The sequence below is a fragment of the Homo sapiens genome, chromosome 21 (assembly GCF_000001405.40).
Source record: "Homo sapiens chromosome 21, GRCh38.p14 Primary Assembly".
Classification (NCBI taxonomy): Eukaryota; Metazoa; Chordata; class Mammalia; order Primates; family Hominidae; genus Homo; species Homo sapiens.
The window spans coordinates 15863200-15887842 of NC_000021.9; the positions used below are offsets into that span (position 1 = coordinate 15863200).

Sequence of the window (24643 nt, forward strand, 5' to 3'; positions counted from 1 at the left end):
TTTCTAGATTTTGCTTGTATATTAAAACATGCATTAGTATTTGTTATTTCCCATTATTATTTGTATATTATGAGGTATTTTTGTTTATAAAGAAAAACTAAGTTTAAACCTTAAGGTAATAATAGTGATAATATATTATCATTATTATTCTTACATTAATAAAATGTACGTACTGTTGGAGCAATAAATACTTCTTTTTGTGATAATTATAACCCCGGGGCTTGATGTTGCATTCCTTATTTGTGGGCTATTCAGCTAAAAGTTAATTGCAATAATACGACTATGCATTTAAGAACAATTTTCTTTCAGATTTGAGTATTGTTGGGAGCTATATATCAACTCTAGAATTTTAGTGTTCAAACTGATGCTTAGAAAGGTAAAACAGAACGGGAAAACTTACCATCTCCATCTTATGATGTCTGTGAATAGACTTTGACTAGGCTCTGATAAATTTTACAGAATTACTCACATTGTAAGTTTAGACATATTTTACCGCTTTCATGTGTGGAAGCAAAAAGAACGTTTATATAGTGAAGGGATAAAGAAGGGCCTTTGTGGCCAGGCACGTGGCTCACGCCTGTAATCCCAGCACTTTGGGAGGCCAAGGCGGGCGGATTATGAGGTCAGGAGTTTGAGACCAGCCTGGCCAACATAGTGAAACCCCATCTCTACTAAAAATACAAAAAATTTAGCTGGGCGTGGTGGTGGGCGCCTGTAATCCCAGCTACTTGGGAGGCTGAGGCAGGAGATTCACTTGAACCTGAGAGGTGGAGGTTGCAGTGAGCCGAGATCACGCCACTGCAATCCATCCTGGGGGAGAGTGGGAGACTTCTTTTTTTTTTTTTTTTTTTTTTAAAAGAAGGGCCTTTGTGGTCAGTTATTCAGAAAATTCCTTGAGTCTATGGAACATGGGACTGTGTTCTTAGTTGTACTGCCTTGTTTGTGATACTTTAAAAGCCAAAAAAAAAAAAAAGATTTAAATGCAAGAAGAATTAAACTCATAATATTGAAGGATTTTTTGGTGTTCAAATAATTAACCAAAATTATCATTTTCATTGCATTTTCCAGGCAATTAAGTTGGAATATGCAAGGTTGGTTAAGTTGGCCCAAGAAGACACCCCACCAGAAACCGATTATCGTTTACATCATGTAGTGGTCTACTTTATCCAGAACCAGGCACCAAAGAAAATTATTGAGAAAACATTACTAGAACAATTTGGAGATAGAAATTTGAGTTTTGATGAAAGGTAATTTGAAAGTATAAAATTCATATGCTCAAATCGTTCTTTTTTTTTTTCCTGCAGATTCCCAGGATAATTTTTTGAGTATTTATTTTATATATGCATGGGCACATATTTTAATAAATACGTAACAAAATTTGAACTCAATGTGACTAGTTGCTGGAGTCTGTGGCCTTTTGAAGTTTGAACTGAAAATAACTTAGATCATTTTAATAAATTTTAATTGTGAATCAAGTAATCACTGCACTTATTACACTCAATATTTTAGAAACAAAAATGGGCTTCTCAACCTCTGTACTATATAGACAGTTTAAATTAGATAAATCTTTGTTGTTGGGGCTGTCCTATGATTGTAGGATATTTAATAATATCCCTCATCTCTTCGTTAGATGACAGTAGCAGCTCCCAAGTTGTGGCATACCAAAATATCTCCAGGTATTGCCAAATAACTCCTAGGGGAGCAAAGTCACCCTTATTAGAGAATCACTGGAGAAAAGTTTTCAGTCTTGCAGATAAAATAATTAAACATTCTTTGACATAAAGAGGAGGCTTAGAAGGGTTAAATTAGATTCACGCAGACATATTTTCTCTGGAAAGAGAAAATATTCTATAGAAATTTCTGTAGAATTTCTGTAGAATATAGAAAATATTCTATAGAATATTTCCAGAGAATGTTTTCTCTAGATTATATTAGTAGTTTTATAAAGAATTATTCAGAAAGTCCTATTAAACTACTAATGTTAAAAATCACAATTTAATTAGAATGAGTGACACTAGAAAATAATTTCAGGGCCCATGTGAAATTTTAGAGTATTGAAAGTTATTTTCATATATAAAAACATTTATGCTGTTGCAGTTCATTGTAATTTTAATTCTGAAATGATCATCCTTTTATGAGTGTCTCAAAAATACTGAGTTAAAAGTGTATAGCAAAGAATATGAGGGGAGGCAAAGCATCTGGATTGATCCTACCTTATTAGATATGTGCCGTGAAATGTAGGATTCTGTGCATAATACAAATAAATAGTTGTGAACAATATCTGATAGGTGGTTGAATGCTCAGTGAATGTTGGCCACTACTGTTTATATTAGTAGCAGTGTGGACATCATTTATTTTGATACATGCGACTGCAGAGAGTTCAGAAACAGGGTTGTTGTGACCCTCGTTATCTGTGCTATCAGTGTACTGAGTTCCATTGGATCTATGCTGTTTAATTTGGAGAAGATATTAATGGAGTAATCACATTGACTTTTCAGTCTTTTGCAGTTCTCTGACTATAACTAGTTAATCTGTTTTGATAACCTGACTTGTGCTTGAAAGACAGAGTTATGCACATGTGAATAAATACATTTCGTGAGGATTTCTTTATCACTGATTCTGATCATAAAATCCAGTGGGATGTTTCCATTTTTACCTGAGATGATAGGCACGTTTTAGACTCTTTAGTATTTAAGAATAAATAATACCATGTGGGGGGAAAAGAAGATGCAGTGTCTCTTGAGCTTGCTTAATAGATGCACATTATTTTTTAAAAGTTTCATTTTTTTCCTATGCAAACTGTGTTAATTAGAATGTAATTTAAAAGCCATATATCAATACAACACAGTAAATTTGAATTAGAATTATTGCTCCTGTCTTCTTTGTAATTCCCCAACATTGGTCCCAAAAATGTTTTTCACTTAAGGTTATTTAGGAGTTGTTTCTATACAAAAGTACTGCTGTTTTTGCTCAGTGTTTATGGATTTTGCTTTTGATTTACAAATATATATATATATATATACACACACATACACACACGCTCATATGTATGTGTTTTTTTTTAAGGTGTCACAACATAATGAAAGTTGCTCAAGCCAAACTGGAAATGATAAAACCTGAAGAAGTAAACTTGGAGGAATATGAGGTAATGTGCTTTCTTAGAGGTTAAACTACAGATTTAGGGATTCTGTAATTCACTGATATTCCTTTCGTTTCAGCCCAACTGAAGTTGAATTTGTTATGAATGATGAGTAAAAAAATTAAGTTTCCAAGTCAATGCTCAAGTAATTAATAATTTTATATGTGATTTTAGGATTAACATGATATGATAGCATGTAGACCAAAAAGTTTAAAATCAAAAAAGGAAGATTTTTGGTTTTTTATTTCAATACTAATTCTCAAGTACTTTTTAAATGAACTTTTCTAGCTTAAAAACAGAATAACAAATGCATTGTTAATTTTGAAATCAACTTAGAAATTGCTGTTACATAATACCAACAAGTAATATTTATCAAGACCCTACTATATGCCAGGCATTTGTCTAAGCCCTTTACATATATTAACTGATTTAATTCAGACAGTAACACTGTAAGATAGGTAGTGTTCTTATTCCCATTTGACACACGAGAAAATAAGGCATAGAGCAGTGAAGTAACCTGCCTAAGGTTTTCACAGCCACAAGTTTACAGCTTGGCTAATAGAACCTACATTCTTAACTGTTGCACTACACTGTGCAACTGTACCCTGTGGGCTGTATTTTTTCCTTCACTTTGATTCATCAGATATATTTTGGGGAAGTTAATTCATTTTAGTCCCTATATGCCATATATGTTTGTCATGAGACAGTGTTGTGTGTGAGAGAGCACTTACATAGGTACTTGTACATGTGCTTGTGGGATTTTTTTGTGCACAAAATTATTTTTTGTCAACTTTGGCTTTAAAATATTCTTTATTTTAATTGATGAATTCATACACCTAGTATTTCTTCACATTTTTAAATTTAATCTTATGCATTGTCTTTTTTTTAATTTATAAGTCTAGTAAATTTTAAGTTGTTTTCTTGGGTGCCTTTGCTTAATATTTAGTTCCATTTACAAACTTAATTATGGTACTTTAGATTCCCTAAATAATTAGTGTAATTCACTACACAAACAGGGAAGAGGAAAGAGAGAGAAAACACTCATTATTGATGAAAACCTTAGCTAGTTTGGCGTATAAGGTAACTACCTTAATTCACTAAAGAGTGTCTCTAAAAACAAAAATAGGAAATAATAAAACTGCAGCAAATATATAGAATTGTGAGCACTGAAAGCTTAAAATTTTTGTTGTCAAAAGCAAGGCAATGAAAATAAGCGAAAAGTAAAATACTGGAAAAGAAGAAACAAAGACATCATTATTTGTAGTTTTTTTTACCTTGAAATTCAAATAAAATCTACAACTGATGTATTAGAACTAGTAAGACAGCTTTGCAGCATGCAAACTTGTGTCAGACATCAATTTTATTCCCTTTTGCCAGTAAAAAAAGTATGAGAAAGTATAAAAGTGAGACCATTTACAATAGTATCTGAAACTATGGAGTATATAGAAATAAATTTAACAAAAGGTGCGTGTGACTTCTGTGGGGAAAATTATAAAACTTATTGGGAGACATTAACAAAGACCTAAATAAATGGGCATACATATGGTATTTGGAAAACTTGATATTATTAATATATAGATATCACTTTTCCCCCAAATGCTTTATAAATTCAGTGCAGGCTGTATGAAAATTCCAGCAAGATGTTTTATGGAGCTTGATAAGCCAACTGAAAAATGTTACGGAAATGCAAAGATCCCAGTCCACCTCCCATCTCTGACAAGCAAGTTAGTGAACAGTATAAAGACTTTTTAATAAATGGTTCTGGGAAATAAATAAAATTTGATTTCTTCTTTATTCCATATGCAAAAATTCATTTCAATTGTGAAAGACTCCTGTGTAAAGCTGTTTAGAAGTCAACATAGGTAGAAGCCCAAAGACATTCATTTATCCATAAGAGGCACTCACTGACCAGATATTTTTGACCAGGATATGTAATCTAGAGCCAGAGAAATTCAAAATTTGTTTTCTCTTGACCCTGAGGAGCAAGTCAAGTCATCTTTTAGCTAATAATGACTCCAAATCTGTGCCCTCCACATTGATTGAGAGCTCTTCCCTTGTCCCCAAGATTCGTGTTCATGGAACTTGATTTTTAATTGTGACTTGATTCTGCAATGCTTCCTTCAGTTTGCTTCAACAGATTGGACTCATTATGTTTTTTTTCATAAAATCTTCTCATATTCTAACTGCAGGGCTGTTAAATCATACAAGTATTTAAATGACTTGTTTTTAGATTCTGCATATTCCTCCTATCTTTGTCTTGCTCTAAGTTCAGGGTTCAGTAAACCATAGCCTGCAGACCAGCTTACCACCTGTTTTTGTAAATAAACTTTTATTGGAACATGGCCATTTGTATACATATTGTCTGTGGATACTTTCACACTGCAGTTACAGAGTTGAGTAACTGAAGAAGATGAGGCTTGCAAAGTCTAAAATATTATCTGGCCTTTTACAGAAAAAGTTTGCCTACTCACAACTTCTAAGGTGATTCTAATGACAACAAGGAATGACAGTTTGAATACCTTCCCCAGAAAAGCTAACTTCATACTTGCAGGACAAATTTTACCTTTATTTGTTATGAAGATCTACTAATAGCATGAAAATTATGTCTTGAAAATTAAAATTAAGACTGGATGTGGTGGCTCATGCTTATAATCCCAGCACTTTTGGAAATCAAGGCACAGGGAGTTGTTTGAGGCCAGGAATTTGAGACCGGCCTGGCCAACATAGCAAGACCCTGTCTATACAAAACAGATTAAGTAATTAACTGGAACTGGGAGCATGCACCTGTAATTCAAGCTACTTGGGAGACAGAGGTAGGAGGATTGCTGGAGCCCAGAAGGTCAAGTCTGCAGTTAGCCGTGATCGTGCCACTGCACTGCAGACTGGGCAACTGAGTGAGACCCTGTCTCCAAAAAAAAAAAAAAAAGTTTATATTCAAGGAGAATATCGTTGGCTAATAACTATGTTTCTTATTTTTGTTTATAATGTTTATATAAAAGCCTTAACACTTTTGTTATCAGTATTCACTTTCCAATTTATCCTACATTGAATTTCAGTTATTTTTCTTGAGTCAATTATTATAAAGTAAGCTAAGAAAATCTTGACTTTGGTATCACCTTAGAATTATTTAGTCCTATTACATGCCCTATAGTTGTTTTGGGGGTGGGGAGGGGCATTGAAATGTGAACTGCAGTTATTCTTTTACCATATCTCATGTAAATAAACTATTCGCCTACACACTTAAAGTCAAATTTACCACATATTTGCGAAGTTAAAAGGTTAAATAAATCTAACTTTTTTTAGTTTCTTAAAATTATGTATTAAGTATGTGTCCAAGCTTTGATTCATACTCAGCGTAATATTTCATTTTCTTCCATCAGTTGATGTAGATATAATAATAGTTCAATAATATGATTTTATACTGATGAATTTTTGAGATGACCTGATTGATTATCCTGCCTTTATATTTCTGTTATCTGCTAGTAAAATCTTTATTGTTTAAAACATTTCATATCCATGCCTAATAATTTTTAGATTTAATGTTGTATTAATAAATAGTCTTGTGTGCCAGAAAGTAAAGTCTTGTTTTAGTTCTGATGTATCTTCATTTTGAACTCTTTATTTCTATTAATTCAGATAGTAGCGAAACAGTGCATTACTTTTTGTACAGTTTCATAGTACTTTTTAAATCTTACTCTGAACATTTTTAATATTTTCTTTCACCTACAGGAGTGGCATCAGGATTATAGGAAATTCAGGGAAACAACTATGTATCTCATAATTGGGCTAGAAAATTTTCAAAGAGAAAGGTAAGGCAAAGTGGACAAATATGAAAAGAGCATAATTTTTGCACTTAATTCTATTCAGGTGTGACCTCATCCATGGAAAAGATTTTATTCATACTCTGTATTTTTAATAAATGTTTTATTTTAGATCAGTTTTAAATTTACAGAAAAATTACACAGTTGATATAGAGACTTCCCATATACCCCACATAAAATATATTTTCCATTTAAAACTCCGTAAGGTTGGCATTAGTGTCTGTGTTTATTAGCTCTCAAACACTACCCTTGAAGCTGAGTCTGATCTTGATATCAAGTCAGAGATAGTGTTTGCAGTCTGTCTTTGTGAACTTTCAGGTTCTGTAAAAAGTGTAGCTGTAGAAAATTTTTGTGTACTGTGACTTTAAACAAATTTTGGATTAATTTTCATTTAAATTAAGGATGGTCTTAAAGGAATATCTACTTATTTAATTATACTATTATTTTAATTGTTATTAAGAAGAAAGGATACATTTTGCTTTACTTACATTTTAGGTTATTTACTAGTTTGCATGTATTTCTCCACATATTTCTTAATGCGTGTTGTTGAACATTAACTTCCCTAGTGATTGTTTTTTGAGAAAATGCTTTATTTTCAATGCAGTGTATATTGCAGCCAAGTAAAAGGGATATTGAATTTTTCCTTTCTTTTTTGTTTTATGAAATTTAAGAAGCTCCCACTTAGGTAATGATGCTTCTTTTTCAAAAAAAGAAACAAAGATCAGTGTTTAATTCTGGAGCTATGCTGTCCAACATAGCGGCCACCTGACAAAACTTAAATAACTAAAACTTTTAAAACCAAAGTTCAGTTCATCGGTTACACCGGCCACGTTTCAGTAGTTCAGTAGCCTCATGTGGTTAGTGGCCTCTATTTTTAGCCAGCACAGAACATTTCCATAATCACAGAAATTTCTATTGGACAGTACTATTCTAGAGGACAGTACTTTCATTTTTATATTAATAGTTATCAAAATTTTTAGTTATCACACAAAAGGAAAAATTAATGTTTTACTTAACAATTTGTCTTAAGTACTTAAGTACAAATTATTTAAAGTCCTAGTCATTGTGCTATTTATAAGATAATTTCACTTTAGTCATTGATGTAGAAAACTTACTTTGATCAATACCTCCAATTTATGAGTTATGTCAATCAAGATTTTATTTCTTTAATAGGAATATTCAAATGTACTATTAGAATTTATATTTGTGCTGATTTGAGAAAAATAATGTGATCGTATAATTCAATAGAGTGAGATATAAAAAGGCATTTCAGTGTTACAGATAAAGAAATCAGACTTCACAGAGATGTAGTAACTTTGTCAAGGTCACACAGCTAACTAGGAGAAGAAAAATTAAAATAGAGACCTCGTATTCTTGTATAATTTAATGAAATCATGTAAGTACAAAATGTATTCATTTATCTCAATAAGAATTAAAAAGATGAAACTGTCACTTTGTACCTATCCGGATAGCTTCTGTATTAGTTGTTCCCAGTTAACATACATTAAAGGAATTTGAGATATAACTTGGAAATATGTTTAAATATTACAATTTGCTTGTCAGTTTTCAAATACATACTTATTCAGAAAGTTAATATTCTAGTATAGTAAATACTTACCAAATTAGAAGGATTAACTAGAAAATCAATAATGGTGACAGATATTACTTGTGGAATATCTTTTAAAGAAATATTGGTGTGTGTGCGACTGTGATCCCAGCTACTCAGGAGGCTGAGGCAGGAGAATCACTTGAACCCGGGAGGCGGAGGTTGTGGTGAGCCAAGATCGCGCCACTGCACTCCAGCCTGGGCGACAGAGCGAGACACTGTCTCAAAAAAAAAAAGAAAGAAATACTGTTTTTTTTTTTTTTTTTTTTTTTTTTACTTTAAATCTTTAAATATAGCAGTTATTGTAGCTAGCTGTTTGTAAAATATTGCCAAAAGATTCTGTCAAAATTGTTTTTAATGAAAATGTAAACATTTAAAGGCTTGAATGAAATACTGATGGACCCTTGTGAGTCCTGAGAACAGTGAAGTGAAATCATGGTTGCAAGAACCATAATTTTATAGAGTGTACCAGGCTACATGATCTTATTTTATCTTAGATAAGAATATGGTAATTGGACTGCTAAATCTTATTCTAAATTTATTTGAATATACATTCGTAAGCACTTTAAAGTTTGATAACATATGGAACATTTTGCGTACCTCAGTAGAGAATTGGAACAAGGTCATGGTTTCAGAGCAATTCTCAAAGAGGTGACTCAGGTCTAGAAAGCCAGATGTCAGTGTCATTCAGGAGAGATCTTCTTAACAGGAAACTCAGTAGCTATAAAGGAAAAGATAGATGTGCTAGTTACTTATTAATTAACGAACTACTACAACTTAATGTTGTAAAACAACTTTTAATATTATCACTTCCTTCGTTTTTCATAAATAACATCTTTAACTGAGAATATGTTTATTAACCTAATATCATTTCAAAATAAAATGTTATACTTAATCTCAAAAACAAATTCCTAGAAAGCCGTTTTCAAAAAATGTATAAAATAGACCTATTTATCATGACACCTTCAGGTGTGTAATTTGATTTGCCATGAATGTATACATTAATTTTTAAATAATTTTACATTTAACATTTGGGATGTGGAATGGATTTATTTTGTATCTAAGTACATGAATTAAGTAATAAACAGTAATTATTGGCAGGAGCGTCTAGAGTTTAAAATTGTGTTTCTTTACAATATTTCATTTTTTAAAATATATTTTTCCATATTAATCTGTGAAAAAATATATTAATGAAAAACTGACGCAAAGGAAATATTTTAAAATAATATTTTTTATTTCAGTTATACAAATACTTGGCTAGATATAGTTTTTATTTTGACATGTTAGAAGGATAGTTTTGAGGTAAAAGTAATTCTTTATTAAATATTTTTTTCTTCCATTTTTGTTTTGTTTTGTATTTTTGAGTTGGGGTCTTGCTCTGTTGCGCAGGCTGGAATGCAGTGGTATGATCATGGCTCACTACAACCTCTTACCTTCTCAGCTCAAGAAGTCCTTCCTCCTCAGCCTCCTGAGTAGCTGGTACTACAGGCATGTACCACGATGCCCAGCTAATTTTTTTTTTTTTAATGTTTTTGTAGAGATGGGGGTGTCAACTATGTTGGCCAGGCAGGTCTTGAACTTCTGGCCTCAGCTGATCCTGTCACCACCACCTCCCAAAGTATTGGGATTACAGGCATGAGCGACTGTGCCTGGCCCCTTTTCTTCCCTTTTTAAAACCTAATTTGAATTTCATAATATCTAGACTTACATTAATATAACACATATGCCTAATTCTATCACTTCTTTTTTTTTTGAGACGGAGTTTTGCTCTTGTTGCCCAGGCTGGAGTGCAGTGGCGTGATCTCAGCTCACCTCACCCTCCACCTCCCGGGATTCTGCTACCTCAGCCTGCCGAGTAGCTGGGACTACAGGCATGTGTCACCATGCCCGGCTAATCTTGTATTTTTAGTAGAGGCGGGGTTTCTCCATGTTGGTCAGGCTGGTCTCGAACTCCCTACGTCAGGTGGTCCGTCTGCCTCAGCCTCCCAAAGTGCTGGGATTACAGGTGTGAGCCGCCGCACCCGGCCTCTATCAGCTTTTTTATGTTTGCAGGCTTTTTGTTTTTGCTTTATTCCACTAGGTTTCCCAGATTTAGAAGAAATCTTTCATTGTCCACTTCCTCTATTTCCTTTAGATATTCTTATTTCTATTTTTTTTTTACATTTTTCTCAGTAACTAAAACTGTCTGCACATAGAAAAGAACCTGTCTAAGTTGTCATTGAACAAACCAAATGATGTTTGTGATCATTTACTTCATATAAATGTGACATTGCGTTAAACAATTAGATTGTTGGCTTTCACATTAGCTCCAATTTTGAGTTTAAATGGAAGACATCAGGAAAATAAATACCAAGGAAAACAGAACTATCTGACTTTATCAGTTATTGCCTCTTTTCCCAGATTTTTTCTTAATTTATAGCTCTTCTTTTTTTACTTTTAAGATAACTATCTCTGGGTTTCAGATGTTGCTGTTGCTAAAAAGGCGCTCTCAAGCATACACTGCGTCAGATGATATTTTTTATTATAATGTAGATTATCAAAACTTAAGCATATACTTAAAATGTTTCATAATTATAGCTGACTTTGTTTCTACAAAGGTGAAATACTAATGTTATATGTTTCTTTTTAATTTTCAAGTTATATAGATTCCTTGCTGTTCCTCATCTGTGCTTATCAGAATAACAAAGAACTCTTGTCTAAAGGCTTATACAGAGGACATGATGAAGAATTGATATCACATTATAGAAGAGAATGTTTGCTAGTAAGTTGAATGCATATAGTATGATCTTATCATTTTGTCTGACATTGGGCAAGTTTTCCAGACTCATATATAAGTGATTGACTCCATAAACTCTGAGGGGATAAGAACATGATGATGTCTATAAACTGGTTCTAGTCCCTTCAGATGGAAAAGTACACTCAGTACTTTATTCTTTTCTCTTTATGAATCCCAAGTACTATAGGTGATAAATGAGAAATGTTCTTAAAATAGCATCAGTTTGTTTACATTTCTGTATTTAGATTTCGTCATCACACTACCACTCCTTTTTTTGGTGGGAGAGGAAGGGATGCATAGATAAGCCTTAAAAAATGTTTTATGTAAGTCTATAAGAATATGCAGGCTGGCGCAGCAGCTCATGCCTGTAATCCTAGCACTTTGGAAGGCTGAGGCTGGTGGATCACAAAGTCAGGAGATCGAGACCATCCTGGCCAACGTGGTGAAACCCCATCTCGACTAAAATACACAAACACAAAAATTAGCTGGATATGGTGGTGTGCGCCTGTAGTCTCAACTACTCAGGAGGCTGAGGCAGGGGAATCGCATGAACCTGGGAAGTGGAGGTTGCCTTGAGCCAAGATCGCGCCACTGCATTCCATCCTGGCAACCAGGTGACAGAGCAAGACTCTGTCTCAAAAAAACAAGAATATACATAGAATGTATTAGAGTAATTTGTTTAACTTAAAAAATTGAATTTTCAGGTACAAGAATAGTATAGCTGACTTTAAACATACATAGAACCAAAACCTGATGGTTCCTCTGAAACCTTCAAAAAATGGTATAATGTTTCTCATCATTTTTTGTAGTAACCCAGCCACATTTGGTTATTTGTTTTACATAGGAATTGAAATGAAACCTCGTCAAGATTACTTTAGTGTTCCTTTCAGATTTTTTCACGTTGTATATTTACAAAGTGTCAGGTTCTGAGGGATACAAACATGAGTAAGATGTACTTCCTGTCCTCAGAAAACTCAGTCTGGTAGGAGACATAATTGTTTGTTCTGGAATAAGTGCCATTATGAGAAATATGCACAATGATATGCCTGAAATATTTGGGAAGAACCTTAAGAGACAAGGTAAACCTCGTCTGGATCTTGATGGATAAATAGAAGTTTTATTCATGATAGAGAAGGGAGAATATTCCAGTACACAACAGAAAATCAAGATAAATTCACTGTGGCTATCCAGGTTATGAGGAAGTGGGGTAAGGTGGAAGTGATGAAGCTGACAATACTTGTCGATGTCAGATGATGAAGAAACTTAGATGACATTCAAATGAGTTTGCACCAGTGTAAGTTTGATTAGGTTTGGCATAATGAGGTTTGTTTTCAGAAAATAATTCTGGTAATAATAATAGCATTCTAGAGGATGAACAGGAAAGAAGTAGATTGAAGTCAAGAACCTTAGAGGGGAAAGTCAAGGGACGGAGAGTGAGGACCTCAACTCATGTAGTACGGTAGGTATGATGGTGAAGGAAATGAAATCGGCATGTCATAGCTGTTGGGTGAGTGGGAAGAAGGAAATGGAAGAGTCAAAGCTGCCAAACTTACTAGTTTTTCGTTTAATATTAGGGAGTCTAATAGGAGGAACAAGGTTGGCTTTGAACATGTTTTATTTAAGAGATTTCCAGGACATTCTTTGATTCAGTGAACTTAACATTAAACTTGTCATTAAATTTTATATATCATTTAATGCATACTTCCAAAAATTGTAGTAAATACTTGAAGATTTATCTCATTTTATTCTCTTAACCCCTATGGTTGGAAGATAAAATACCCTATTATTAATATAAAGAAAGTGAAGCTAACAGATTTAGCTAATCTGTTCACGATTGGTGTATTAGTCCGTTCTCACACTGCTATAAAGATACTACACAAGACTGGGTAATTTATAAAGGAAAGAGGTTTAACTGACTCACAGTTCCACATGGTTGGGGAGGCCTCAGGAAACTTAAAATGATGGCGGAAGGTGAAGGGGAAGCAAGGACCTTCATCACATGGTGGCAGGAGAGAGAAGTGCAAGCAGAGGAAATGCCAGATGCTTATGAAACCATCAGATCTCATGAGACTCACTCCCTGTCACAAGAACAGCACTGGGGAAACTGTCCCTATGATCTGATCACCTCCCACCAGGTCTCTTCCTCAACACCTGGGGGTTACAATTCAAGATAAGATTTGGGTGGAGACACAAAGCCTAACCATATCAATTGGGTAATTGATTCATGGCCAAGTTGGACTTAATAGCACAACCATCTTTCCAAAATCAAAATAAATTGCATAAGAATTATGTGGTGTAAATCTAAATATATAACTTTTTTTATTTGAAATTCAGCTTAAAAGTCATGTTTATCATGCTGTAAACATAAGATTTTAAATAAGAACCCTTAAATATTATAGGTCTTATACCTGTATTTATCTCTTATGTTTCTTATTGCATGGATTTCTCTGTTCTACTAGATCAGTGATCAGCACACTATGGCTTGTGCTCCACCTACCACTTGTTTTTATAGATAAGTTTTATTGAAACATAGCCATGCACATTCATTTATATATTGGGTATTATTGTCTTTGTACTACAATGGCAGAGTTGAATAGTTGCAACAGAAACTTCATGGCCTTCAAAGCCTATAATAGTCCTCGTCTGGCCCTTCACAGAAAAAGTTTGCCAATCCTTGTACCAAATTGTAAGCTCCATGAGAGTTTTCTGTATTAATCACTTGAGTGCCCCTGCATCTGCAGAAATTTCTGGCACGTGGTGTTGACTCTGTAGGAAGTTTTTGAAGGGAAAAGTGAATTGATTACCTTTATATTTCTGTATCAAGGAATACAATAGTATATATTCAGTTGCCATTAATGGAGATGAGTTTTTCAAAAATTAATATGGATTCTGAATTTCTTTATTTTTAAAACTATTTTGAGTGCTTATACAATTTTATAATTTGGGGAAGTTAATCTCTAGAGAAGAAAAAATGGCCCCTGTGTTGATGATCGGCATAAGCCAAACATGACTGAAAAACACAATAATGTTTTCTCCACCGCTGTTGCTTTTGTTTCTGTTGTTGCCATATGCATAGCTTTTTCTAAAGAGAGATTTTCAGTTCTAGATAGGTTGAGATTGTTTTCTCTAAATACCGTTTGTTCTAATACTGTTTGTGAACATATTTATGTTGTCTTCCTTATTAATACTTACAGATCCTTAATTTAAAAAGGAAACAAAAACCTATTCTTTTTTTTTTCCTGCATTGCATTAAGAAATTAAATGAGCAAGCCGCAGAACTCTTCGAATCTGGAGAGGATCGAGAAGTAAACAATGGTTTGATTATCATGAATGAGTTTATTGTCCCATTTTTGCCATTATTACTGGTGGATGAAATGGAAGAAAAGGATATACTAGCTGTAGAAGATATGAGAAATCGATGGTGTTCCTACCTTGGTCAAGAAATGGAACGTAAGTTTAAACAATGGTAGTAGGCACCTGAGATGTCCGGATTAAATGCAGTTAGAATTAGATGTTATTTATTCTTGCCATTTTTTATATTAAATACAATATTAAGTATTAATATTTTCACATTCACATGATTACTCTTTTTCCATATTGATGAACTAAGCTGTGTGCATTGCAGTTGCCATTTATGTTTTTGTCTCCCCAAAATGGCAATTATCTTACCTATTAGAGTAAGTTAATATTAGTAAATCATGTTGACAATGATCGTGTAATAATTTCTATCTTTAGTTAGATTTAATTGTTTGTATTTGCAGCACACCTCCAAGAAAAGCTGACAGATTTTTTGCCAAAACTGCTTGATTGTTCTATGGAGATTAAAAGTTTCCATGAGCCACCGAAGTTACCTTCATATTCCACGCATGAACTCTGTGAGCGATTTGCCCGAATCATGTTGTCCCTCAGTCGAACTCCTGCTGATGGAAGATAAACTGCACACTTTCCCTGAACACACTGTATAAACTCTTTTTAGTTCTTAACCCTTGCCTTCCTGTCACAGGGTTTGCTTGTTGCTGCTATAGTTTTTAACTTTTTTTTATTTTAATAACTGCAAAAGACAAAATGACTATACAGACTTTAGTCAGACTGCAGACAATAAAGCTGAAAATCGCATGGCGCTCAGACATTTTAACCGGAACTGATGTATAATCACAAATCTAATTGATTTTATTATGGCAAAACTATGCTTTTGCCACCTTCCTGTTGCAGTATTACTTTGCTTTTATCTTTTCTTTCTCAACAGCTTTCCATTCAGTCTGGATCCTTCCATGACTACAGCCATTTAAGTGTTCAGCACTGTGTACGATACATAATATTTGGTAGCTTGTAAATGAAATAAAGAATAAAGTTTTATTTATGGCTACCTATGTGTTTGTAAGCAGGTATATTGTATATTAGTGTATTAGTAATACTAGATAAATGAATTTTGTCTGGGGATTAAGATTGGATAGTTAATAGATTAATACAATCTTTTAATTCTGCTCTAATGCTAGCAAATTGGAAAATGTTTAAGTCTTTGACACTTAAATTTATCTATATTTTTAACAAAGTTCTTGAACTTAGTATGGCACCGGAACCTGTTTTGAATTCAGTCAGGTTTTTACTCAAGTAAGTGGTTGATTTTTTTTAAGTCAAACTACACTGAAACTTTTATCCTTTTCTTAGATTAATCTTACTTTTTAAATGTATTTACAATATACAGCAAGGTGATTATTTCAAGAGAATCCCAAAGTACTTGAATAAGGGCTATTGTAAAATTTAAAAGAAATATTTATATATACACATATATACACATACACACATGTATATATATATTCTTCATAATGGAGGACAATGTTTTGCAATATATAAATCATTCTATTTTTGTAAATTGTATATCACTTTAATTGAAAATGTTCTCTACTAATTAATACTGTGAAACAAAATTGATGTTGTTTAACTAGAAGTTATGAGTATCTTAACTGCCTTTATTCCTTTTCAAAAAGGAAAAAGCTGTAGAACATTTTGTAGATGAAACTACTGTTTAAGATTAATGAATTAATATTGTGAATGAAAATCAAAATCCATACTTTAAAGGTAATCATGTTACTAACAACCTATTTTTGAATTCATAAAAATTTCTTTATAAATGATGTTTTGTGAACATAGTAAAATAGACCATTATACTATGTGTATGTTTGATACAGCGTCGCCAAAACTAGTGTTCTTTATTAGTGCCTCTCACAAAAGATCCTGGATGGAGGAGTAAGATGAAATATTATGCTATTATATGATGCTGTTTGTAAAGGTATTAATGTACTAGTAAGGTGTTAATGACAAGGAATTAGTACTATTCCTGTTGTAAAGTTAGATTTTGCATATTGTATCTATCAAAATATGTTTGGGTTTAGATTTTAAGTTGTCTACTGAGCAGATTTCTGCATTGGTTTTCCAGTCCTGTTAAAAGTTTAGAAACTTCATATGTGTCATCACAGCTTTTGTAAAGAAAGTATCCTTAATATTTTATGACATTCTACCACAGTGGTAAAGTTGTTTGTGTTTGTGTATAATTGACTGCTGAGATACAAAGTGCCCAAACACTATATGGAAATTATTCCTTCAAAGTCACATCCAGAGAATCATGTCACTCTTGTGCTGAAGGTAAGTATTATAATTGTATTTACTATGTACTTAAAAACCAGATTATTTATTCCTAGTAATGAATTTGAAATAACTTATTTAAAGAAAAGTGACCTTTTTCAAGACCTACAGAAACAACTTATTTTAATATTGGTTTTTAATCTAATTGTAAGGTTTAGATCATTGAAATTTCTTTTTTTTTTTTTTTTTAAATTTCCAACTTTTAAGTTCAGGGGTCCATGTGCAGGACATGCAGGTTTCTTACAGAGGTACATGTGTGTCATGGTGGTTTGCTGCACAAATCATCCCATCACCCAGGTATTAACCCCAGCATCCACTAGCTATTCTAACTGATCCTCTTCCTCCTCCCAGCCCCCACCCTCTGCCAGACACCAGTGTGTGTTGTTCCTTCCACCATTGAGTCCAATATGTTCTTATCGTTTAGCTCCCGCTTATGAGAACATGCAGTAGTTGGTTTTCTGTTCCTATGTTAGTTTGTTCAGGATAATGATCTCCAGCTTCATCTGTGTCCCTGCAAAGGACATGATCCCATTCCTTTTTATGACTGCATAGTATTCCATGGCGTATATGTACGTTTTCTTTATCCAGTCTATCACTGACTGGCATTTAGGTTAGATTCCATGCCTTTGCTATTGTGAATAGTGCTGCAGTGAACATACACGTGCATGTTTTTATAAGAGAACAATTTGCATTCCTTTGAGCATATATCCAGTTACGGGTTTGCTGGCTCAAATGGTATTTCTCTCTTTAGGTCTTTGAGGAACCATCACAGTCTTTCACAATGGTTGAACTAATTTACACTTCCACCAACAGTGTAAAAGTGTTCCTTTTTCTCCATAACCTCGCTACCATCTGTTGTTTTTATGACTTTTAATAATAGCCATTCTGACTGGTGTGAGGTGGTGTCTCATTGTGGTTTTGATTTGCATTTCTCTAATGATCAGTGATACTGAGCTTTTTTTCATATACTTGTTGGCCTCATGTATGTCTTCTTTTGAGAAGTGTCTGTTCATGTCGTTTGCCCACTTTTTAATGGGTTTTCTTTTTTCTTGTCAATATCATAAGTTCTTTATAGATGCTGCATATGAGACCTTTGTCATATGCACAGATTGTAAAAATTGTCTCCCATTCTGTAGGTTGTCTTTTTTACTCTGTTGTTAGTTTTGCCATGCAGAAGTTCTTTAGTTTAATCAGATCCCGTGTGTCAGTTTTTGCTTTTGTTGCAATTGCTTTTGACACTTCGTCATGCAATCTTTGCCCATTCCTATGTCCTGAATGGTATTGCCTAGGTTTTCTTCTAGCGTTTTTATAGTTTTGAGTTTTAAATTTAAGTCTTTAATCCATCTTGAGTTGATTTTTGTATATGGTGTAAGGAAGGTGTCCAGTTTCAGTTTTCTGCATATGGCTAGTCAGTTCTCCTAGCACCATTTATTAAATAAGAAATATTTTTCCCATTATTTGTTTTTGTCAGGTTTGTAGAAGATCAGATGGCTATAGGTAGGTGTGTGGTCTTATTTCCGAGTTCTCTATTCTGTTCCATTGGTCTCTATGTGTCTGTTCTTGTAACAGCACCATGCTGTTTTGGTTACTGTTGCCTTGTACTGTAGTTTGAATTTGGGTAGTGTGATGCCTCCAGCTTTGTTCATTTTGCTTAGGATTGCCTTGGCTACTCAGGTTTGGTTTTTTGTTTCGTTTTGTTTTGTTTGGTTCCATATGAATTTTAAAAGTTTTTTCTAATTCTGTGAATAATGTTATTGGTAGTTTAATGGGAATAGCACTGAATCTATAAATTGCTTTGGGCAGTATGGATATTTCTACAATATTGATTCTTCCTATCCATGAGCATGAATTTTATTTTCCATTTGTTTGTGTCCTCTCTGATTTCCTTGAGCAGTGGTTTATAGTTCTTGAAGAGCTCCTTCACGTCCCTTATTAGCTGTATTCCTAGGTATTGTATTCTTTTTGTGGCAGTTGCGAATGGGAGTTCACTTGTGATTTGACTCTTGGCTTGCCTGTTTTTGGTGTATGGGAATGCTAGCACTTAGTGCACATTGATTTTGTATCCTGAGATTTTGTTGAAGTTGCTTATCAGCTTAAGAAGCTTTTGGGCTGAGATGGGATTTTCTAGATACAGGATCATGTCATCTGCAGACAAAGATAGTTTGATTTCCGTCTTCCTATTTGAATACCTTTATTTATTTCTCTTGCCTGATTGCTCTTGTCAGAGCTTCCAATACTATGGGGAATAAGAGTGGTGAGAGAGACAGCCTTGTCTTTTACAGGTTTTCAAGGGAAGTGCTTTCAGCTTTTGCCCATTCAATGTGATGCTGGCTGAGGGTTTGTCATAGGTGGCTTTTATTATTTTGCAGTATGTTCATTTAATACCTAGTTTATTGAGAATTTTTAACATGAAGTGATATTGAATTTTATCAGAGGCCTTTTCCACATCTATTGAGGTAATCATGTGGTTTTCGTCTGTAGTTCTGTTTATGCAATGAATCTCATTTATTGATTTTTGTATGTTGAACCAACCTTGTATCCCAGGAATGAAGCCTACTTGATCGTGGTGGATAAGCTTTTTGATGTGCTACTGTATTCAGTTTGCCAGTATTTTGTTTAGGATTTTTGCATCAGTGTTCATCAGGGATATTGGCCTGAAGTTTTTGTTGTTGTTGTTGACGTTGTATGTCTGCTAGGTTTTGGTATCAGGCTGATGCTGCCCTCATAGAATGAGTTAGGGAGGAGTCCCTCCTTTTCAATCTTTTGAAATCGTTTCAGGAGCAGTGATAGCAACTGACCCTTCTTTGTACCTCTGGTGGAATTCATCTGGGAATCTGCCTGGTCTTGGACTTTCCTTGGTTGGTAGGCTGTTACTACTGCCTTAGTTTCAGAACTCATTATTGGTCTGTTCAGGGATTCAATTTCTTCCTGTTTCAGCCTTGAGAGGGTGTATATGTCCAGGAATGTATGATTTTTTTCTAGATTTTCTAATTTATGTGAATAGAGGTGTTCATAATATTATCTGACTTGTCTTTCTATGGGGTTAGTGGTAAGAGCCCACTTATTTCTGATTGTGTTTATTTGAATCTTCTCTCTTTTCTTCATTAGTCTAGTGGTCTCCTAGTGGCTCACGCCTGTAATCCCAGCACTTTGGGAGGCCAAGGCGGGTAGATCACGAGGTCAGGAGATTGAGATCATCCTGGCTAACACAGTGAAGCCCTGTCTCTACTAAAAATACAAAAAAAAAAAAAAAAAAATTAGCCGGGCATGGTGGCGGGTGCCTGTAATCCCAGCTACTCGGGAGGCTGAGGCGGGAGAACGGCATGAACTCGGGAGGCAGAGCTTGCAGTGAGCTGGGATCGTGCCACTGCACTCCAGTCTGGGTGACAGAGCGAGACTCTGTCTCAAAAAAAAAAAAAAATTAGCTCCTGGATTGTGTGATTTTGATTTTTTTTTGAAGGGCTTTTTTTTGGGGGGGTCTCTATCTTTAGTTCAGCTCTGATATTGGTTATTTCTTGTTTTCTGCTAAGCTTTGGGGTTTGTTTGCCCTTGGTTTTCTAGTTACTTTAGTTGGGATATTAGGTTGTTGAGATCTTTCCAGCTTTTTGATATTGTCATTTAGTGCTATAAATTTCCCTCTTAACACTGCTTTAGCTGTGTCCCAGAGATGCTGGTATGTTGTATTTGAAATTTCTTTATATAATTTACCATGTTAAATATAACTTATAGCTAATAACTTCGGAATTTGAACCTCATAGAACTGTAGTCCATAGCAGATTTCATTTGATTTAAATGACTCTTATTTTGGTTACTATGTTATTCCTTCCTACCCCAAAAAAGTTACGTTTTGAAATAATTCAGGGTAGAATTCATATAGATAGAACTTCAGACATCTCAGGAGACCAGTACGCATGAATGAACATGTAGGGACCCCTCTAATACGTTTCACATCCATTATGATACAACAATGACCATACACTTTAGTAGTTCTCAGTGTGTGTTCTCCAGATCAGTAGACAGCTTCAGCAGCTTGGGAACATGTTAGAATTGAAAATTTTTGAGTCCCACCTCAGAGCTGCCAGTTCAGAAACTCTTCACGTAACCTGTGTTACAACAAGTCCTTCAGATAATTTTGATGTTTACTAGTTTCAGAGCCACTGCACTAAATGAAACTATTGGTAGCATTTGTGCACTGTAAATTGATGCTGTTTAATTTTCATTCACTTGTGCTCTGTTGGAAGCTTTTTTGTGTTTCCTTCACTTGGGATTTCAAGGAAGTATCTAATTTTTTTTTTTTTTTTTTTGCTCAATTACATGTAATTGAGAATAAGATAGGTATCTGATTCTCCAAAAGTTCAGCATCTTTATTTTATGATTTAAACTTGTCGAGTTATGCCTCTGGGTCCTGTCATTCTCCCAGCGAATAAAAATGTGGATGCTTGGGGAAGTGGAGGTGGATGGTAAATGGGAATACTCTTGTTTGAATTTTTAAAAATTTACATTGTAAATAACATTAAATACCATTTGTTGTGCCCATGATAACTTCATCCAAAATATATATATTAGTCTGCTAAGATATGCCATAACAAAATAACACAGGCTTGGTGCCTTAAACAACAGAAATTTTTCTTCTGGTTCTGGAAGCTGGAAGTCTAAGATCAAGCTGTTGGTGGATTTGATTTCCCCTAAGGCCTCTCTCCTTGGCCTGCAGACCACCACCTTCTCTCTGTGTCCTCACCTAGCCTTTTCTCTGTGTCCTCACCTAGCCTTTTCTGTGTGCTGCATCCCTGGCCTCTCTTCCAGTTCTTATAAGGACCCCAGTCACATTGGATTTGAGCCCCATCCTTATGAACTCACTTAACCTTAATTATCTCTTTAAGGGCCCTGTCTCCAAACACAGTCATGTTAGGGGGTTAGGGCTTCAATTTATGAATCTGGGGGACAATTTAGTAAAAAAAATAGTATGTGACAGCCCAGTTTATATACCTGCTTTCCAGAAACAAGAATATGGTTGTTAATGTCTTCTCTTTAGCCTCAAGATACAGTGCAAATATCTGTAGTTCCGTTCTTACGTAAGCTTTATTTTACTTTTTCTAAAAACTATATTGAAAGTATAGCAATCCGAGTTAGAAATTGCTTATAATGCATTCATCTAATCAGCTCAGTGTTCTTACTGAACAAACTTTTATTTCCATGTTTACTCATGTTTATTTCATCAGTTTCACCTGACATTATACCATGAATATATTTCTGTTTTGCTAGTGTTTTTATTCTTACTGATCACATGTCCCTTTTTCGTCTTCCATACCACTCCCAGCCTAGAGTTAATGACCACTAACCACCGTAGCCACATACTTTTCCATGTTTGGATAACCTTATGCAGCATATACACCTAAAGGGTGGTGGTTTTTTTAGGGGGTGGTGGTGGAAGGGGGGAGACGGTCATTGTTTTTACAAAAATTAAATTTCATCTATTTTACACATCCTTTCCCCTGTCTTCCCCTTGTACTTTCCAACCTTCAGTTTCTTCTTTTTCTAATTAGCTTTGTAGGAGTGACTTAAAATATAATAAAGTGAAATAACATAGCAGTGATAATAATAGAATAAAAATAAACGAAACGTGATTGGAGAAACTGCACACATGCACACCAAGATTTCAGATATTCTTATTCCTTCCATGTACAGTTCTCAGTGGGTATTTCAGACCTTCACTCCCATCCTCAGCCTCTCCTATTCAGTGCCAGCTTCTGTAACGCTGGATGATCTTTTCTTTGCCTAACGAAGAAAACTGGAGATGTTAGGTATGATCCTCCTTTCAACTTTTGTGCCTCCTATCTAAATTAGTTGTTAACCAGCTTGTAATGAAGGGATAAACATTGATAACCCAATATTATTTAGAAAATAGAAATAGAATCAGAATATACTATGAAATGAGCTTACAAATTTCAACAAGTGTCCACTATTTTGGGAGTGTGTTTGCTCTTCTCCAGCAGTAATCCAGAAAGCTCACTTTTTCCCCCGAGACTATCTCATACAACATGTTTGCCCTGTAGCAAACAGCTCCTTATTTTTTCAGTAATGTAGAGCTAGACCAGTATTCTTCTGTTGTTTTTATTTTGTGGAGTTTTTGTGTGTATTTTTAGTTTTTTGAAACAGGGTCTCGCTCTGTTTCCCAGGCTGGAGTGCAGTGGTGCAGTCTCCTCTCATTGCAACCTCCAACTCTCTGGCTCAAACAATCCTCCCACTTCAGCCTCTGAAGTAGCTGGGACTATATGTGCAAGCCACTGTGCTTGGCTAATTTTTTAATTTTTTGTAGAGATGAGGTCTCACTATGTTGTCCAGGCTAGTCTCAAACTTCTGGACTCAAGTGATCCTGCCACCTCCGCCTCCCATACCCCTGCGATTACAGGTGCAAGCTACTGCACCTGACCTAGACCCATATTCCTAACCTAGTTCGTCAAAAGCATATGAGGAACTTTTTTTTCTTTAAAGTGTCCAGATGTTATCTCTCATGTGTATTACAGGGCTTCAAATGTGAGAATTGGAGTTTAGATAGTTGTTTTTCCAATTTTAATTTAAGATTTGCCTGTGGCCCTACTATGTGATTGAGCCTAGCTAAAGTAGTGTGGAGGAATTTGCTTTTTACAGTACTGTATGTCACATGAAAGGGCAGGGGTCTTCAGATTGCTGATGTTCCCTCAGCCATAGACCATGCCCACTTTTGACGTGCTCTAGCCAAAGCTGCATGAAAATATTTTTCAGTCCCTACTGGATTTTTCTCTTATGAATGGTTAACAGTGCAGGTTCTGGAACCAAACTACCTGGATTCAGATTCTGGCTCTGCCGTTTATTCGCTGTGTGTTGACCTTGAATGAGTGATTTAACTTTTCCGTGCCTCAGATTCTTCATCTATAAAATGGGCATTATGACATAACACACCTTAGAGGATTTTTTAAAAGATTAAATGGGTTTCCAGATATAAAACGTTTAGAAACTGTCTGCCACATTAAGTATTCAATAATTGTGAGCCCTTTTTATAGTTTGTCAGTATTGTTTACTCCTGTTCTGGTTTTGAGGATCTTTAGCTTCCATCCTCTACCTGCATTCCTAGTGTTTTTTTTTTTCTCCCTACTTCTTAAAGTTGTGCTCAAGGTTTGGTACTTGGCCCCTTCCTCATGCTTTTCACTTTTTCTGGTTGTGTCTGTTAGTTTGTCTTCTTATTCTGCCTCCATGAATCACAGGTCATTGTTTTCTAATCATACCCATGTGAGTTCTAAACCAATACATATTTGCAGTTGTCTTTTCATCACATATACCTGGATGTTTCGCAGACACTTTCGACTTGGCACATCTGAATTCATCACTTTTTCCCAAATCTGATTGTCTCATACTCCCTTGATGAAATGATGTAATAATCCCAAAATGAATTATTCTCAATTCTACTTTTACCTCCCATTGATTACCAAGTGTCAGCATGTCAGATTTTTTAATACTCCTTAGTACTATGGCTGATGAGGTCCGTCATCTCTTAGTTTGACTGTTAGATTTGTCCCTGAGTAGCACTGTCTTTGATTTTGCCCCTGAAATTCATCTTCACACTGTTGACAGAATAATCTTTTAAAGTGGTTTGTTTTACATGTCTGTCTTCCACTGCTGGA

At 34.7% G+C, this 24643-nt stretch overlaps 1 protein-coding gene across 17 annotated transcripts in view; it reads left to right on the forward strand.

Annotated features, from left to right (window-relative positions):
• Window positions 1–16865, forward strand: part of USP25 (ubiquitin specific peptidase 25) — a 150083-nt gene extending 133218 nt beyond the window's left edge. For 15 of the 17 annotated variants that reach the window (NM_001352560.2, NM_001388301.1, NM_001388302.1 and 12 more), the window contains 6 exons: window positions 1069–1247; window positions 3067–3145; window positions 6869–6948; window positions 11204–11327; window positions 14597–14792; window positions 15104–16865. In NM_001352560.2, coding sequence (NP_001339489.1) covers window positions 1069–1247; window positions 3067–3145; window positions 6869–6948; window positions 11204–11327; window positions 14597–14792; window positions 15104–15276 — 831 coding nt within the window. In that variant the 3' untranslated portion in view covers window positions 15277–16865. Of the gene's footprint in view, window positions 1–1068; window positions 1248–3066; window positions 3146–4752; window positions 4814–6868; window positions 6949–11203; window positions 11328–14596; window positions 14793–15103 lie in introns of those variants that run through there. The other 2 variants (XM_011529529.2, XM_047440749.1) reach the window with 2 other exon arrangements.
• The last annotated feature ends 7778 nt before the right edge of the window (window positions 16866–24643 follow it).